Genomic DNA, 2,251 nt, shown 5'->3' on the forward strand with positions numbered 1-2,251 from the left:
GATTTATTTGGATTGCTTTTCCCCACCACTGAATCCCCTTTACTTGGAGAGTGCCTGGCACATAGTAGGCTCTAAATAAATATTTATTGGATAAACATATGGATGAATGAATTAGAAATACAAACTTTAAAAATTCTTCAAATTTCTCGGTTCTGGAGAAACTTCTTCAAGTCCAATAGACATGCAACTATGCACTCACTTAGACCAAGCTGGAAGAACTTGGAAAGCAATAGAGTTCAGTGACCACCCCCAAACCAATGCTTAACCATAGTAACACTAGCTTTTTTTTAGGTGTACTACTGGCTGTTATTGCTCATACTCTTAAGGAATTTTTCCACCATTTTTTTCTTTATATGTGCATGGTAACTTACATTTGTATTATTCAATAGAGTTACAAGTGGGGAGTATATTCATGGTTAGAAGGAGAGTGACCGATCCCTAAGTTTATATGCAATTTTTTCTTTTAATCGTCATTTTACAGCTCCCCACCGCAGCTGCCCCCCACCCTTCCCTTTGATGACCAGGTTTGCCGGCTTCAGGGGGTCCAGGGAACAAAGCGGGGGCCTGGCAGCCCCACTACGCTGCCTGCAGGGGAGAACAAGTCACAACTGCAAATTATCACAACAATTAGCGCCTGTACTTGGGGGATCTGCAAATTGAGGAAGCCCCAGCTTCTCCCTGTACAGGGTTCTAATTGGCAGTGACCTTGCTCTGGAGATGATGATATTCCTTCAGCCTGAGGGAATTGATGTTGATGAAACCGGTGGCATCAATTGGCTCATAATCACCATGCACGTTCATGCTCACCAGCTCCTCGTTGTAGAGAGACCGTGGGGACTCCCAGCCGAGGATGTACACCTGGTCCTTGAAGAGGGACACCTGTACTTTCCTTTCCACTCGCTCCTGGGACTTGGCGATGGAGTGGCGGACAAATTCACACTCAGGGCTGTGCCAGAAACCAGTATACACCAGCTCAGCACATTTCAAGCCCAGGCCTTGTTTGATTTTGCGCACTTCCCAGTCCATGGTGAAGGTCTCGATGTCTAAATGAGCGTGGTAAAGGATGGTGCCTGCTGGGGTCTCGTAGATACCTCGGGACTTCATTCCAATGAAGCAGTTCTCCACGATGTCAATACGGCCCACGCAGTGCTTTCCCGTGACTTCATTCAGGTACATGAAGAGCGCCAAGGAGGTCTGGTGGGTGGTGCCATCCTTGACGTTGGTAACCTTCAAGAAGACCCCTTTTTTGAACTCGATCTCGAGAATGTCAGGGGTGTTGGGGGCTTTGGCCAGTCCTGGGTCTTCGGGTAGAGACCTGGAGGCGCTTGGTTCTTGGGGGTCCTCTAGGATTCCAGCTTCGTAGCTGATGTGCATGAGGTTCTCGTCCATGTTCCACGGGTTCTTGGGAGTGACTGGGATGGGAATCCCGTGTTGCTTTGTGTATTCCGTCAGGTCACTGCAGCCCTTGAAGTGGTTGTAGAATTCGGGCATGCTCCAGGGAGCAATGACCTTTATCTGGGGGGCCAGTGAGTAGCAGGTGAGCTCAAACCAGACCTGAGCCATGACACACATAACTTGGCCCCCTCCCGCTGGGGGATTTCCACTTGTTTGCGGGCGGTGCAGGGCCTGGTGTGAGAGGTGCCCAGGAGGTAGCCGTCCTCATACAGTGAGCTGGACTGGATGGCTGGCCAGATGAACTCCTCCACAAACTCCCTGCTGACACCCTCAGTGAACACCTTTTTGGTCCCAAGCTTTGGTGCCTTCTTCCTTGCTTCCTCGAAGTCTTCCTTCTGGCCAATGTTGGCCAGGTAGGCAGTGACGTCATAGCCTTGTTCCTTCAGCCACACGAGGATACACGAGGTGTCCAGACCGCCACTGTAGGCCAGAACCACTGAGCCTTTGCTGGACATAACGTCTGGGATTAGAGGCACGAGTTCCCGGCGTCTGGAATCTGTCTTCAGGGTGCAGTGAACCACTCGGGCCCGGGCAGAGGCGGCAGGCGACAGAGCAGGGCTATATGCAATTTTTTTTACCTGCCAACTATTCTCTGATACCATGGCCAAGCCTCCCAAGATGGTGGCTTTCCAGGCTCATCTAGTAAACAGGGTTTCTAGGCTCAGTTAGCCATGCCACGTAGTAAAACTTCACAGAAAATATTCCCTTCTGACAGATATAATGAGGCAAAGAAGCTGAAACCAGTTCGAAAATTTAATTCTCTCTTCATCCCTTATCAGTTGCAAAGCCAGGTGTT

At 49.7% G+C, this 2,251-nt stretch overlaps 1 pseudogene; it reads right to left on the reverse strand.

Moving 5' to 3' along the window:
• ASS1P11 (argininosuccinate synthetase 1 pseudogene 11) lies at nucleotides 460-2,012 on the reverse strand (annotated as a pseudogene).

The sequence above is a fragment of the Homo sapiens genome, chromosome 7, assembly GCF_000001405.40.
Source record: "Homo sapiens chromosome 7, GRCh38.p14 Primary Assembly".
NCBI classification, from domain to species: Eukaryota; Metazoa; Chordata; class Mammalia; order Primates; family Hominidae; genus Homo; species Homo sapiens.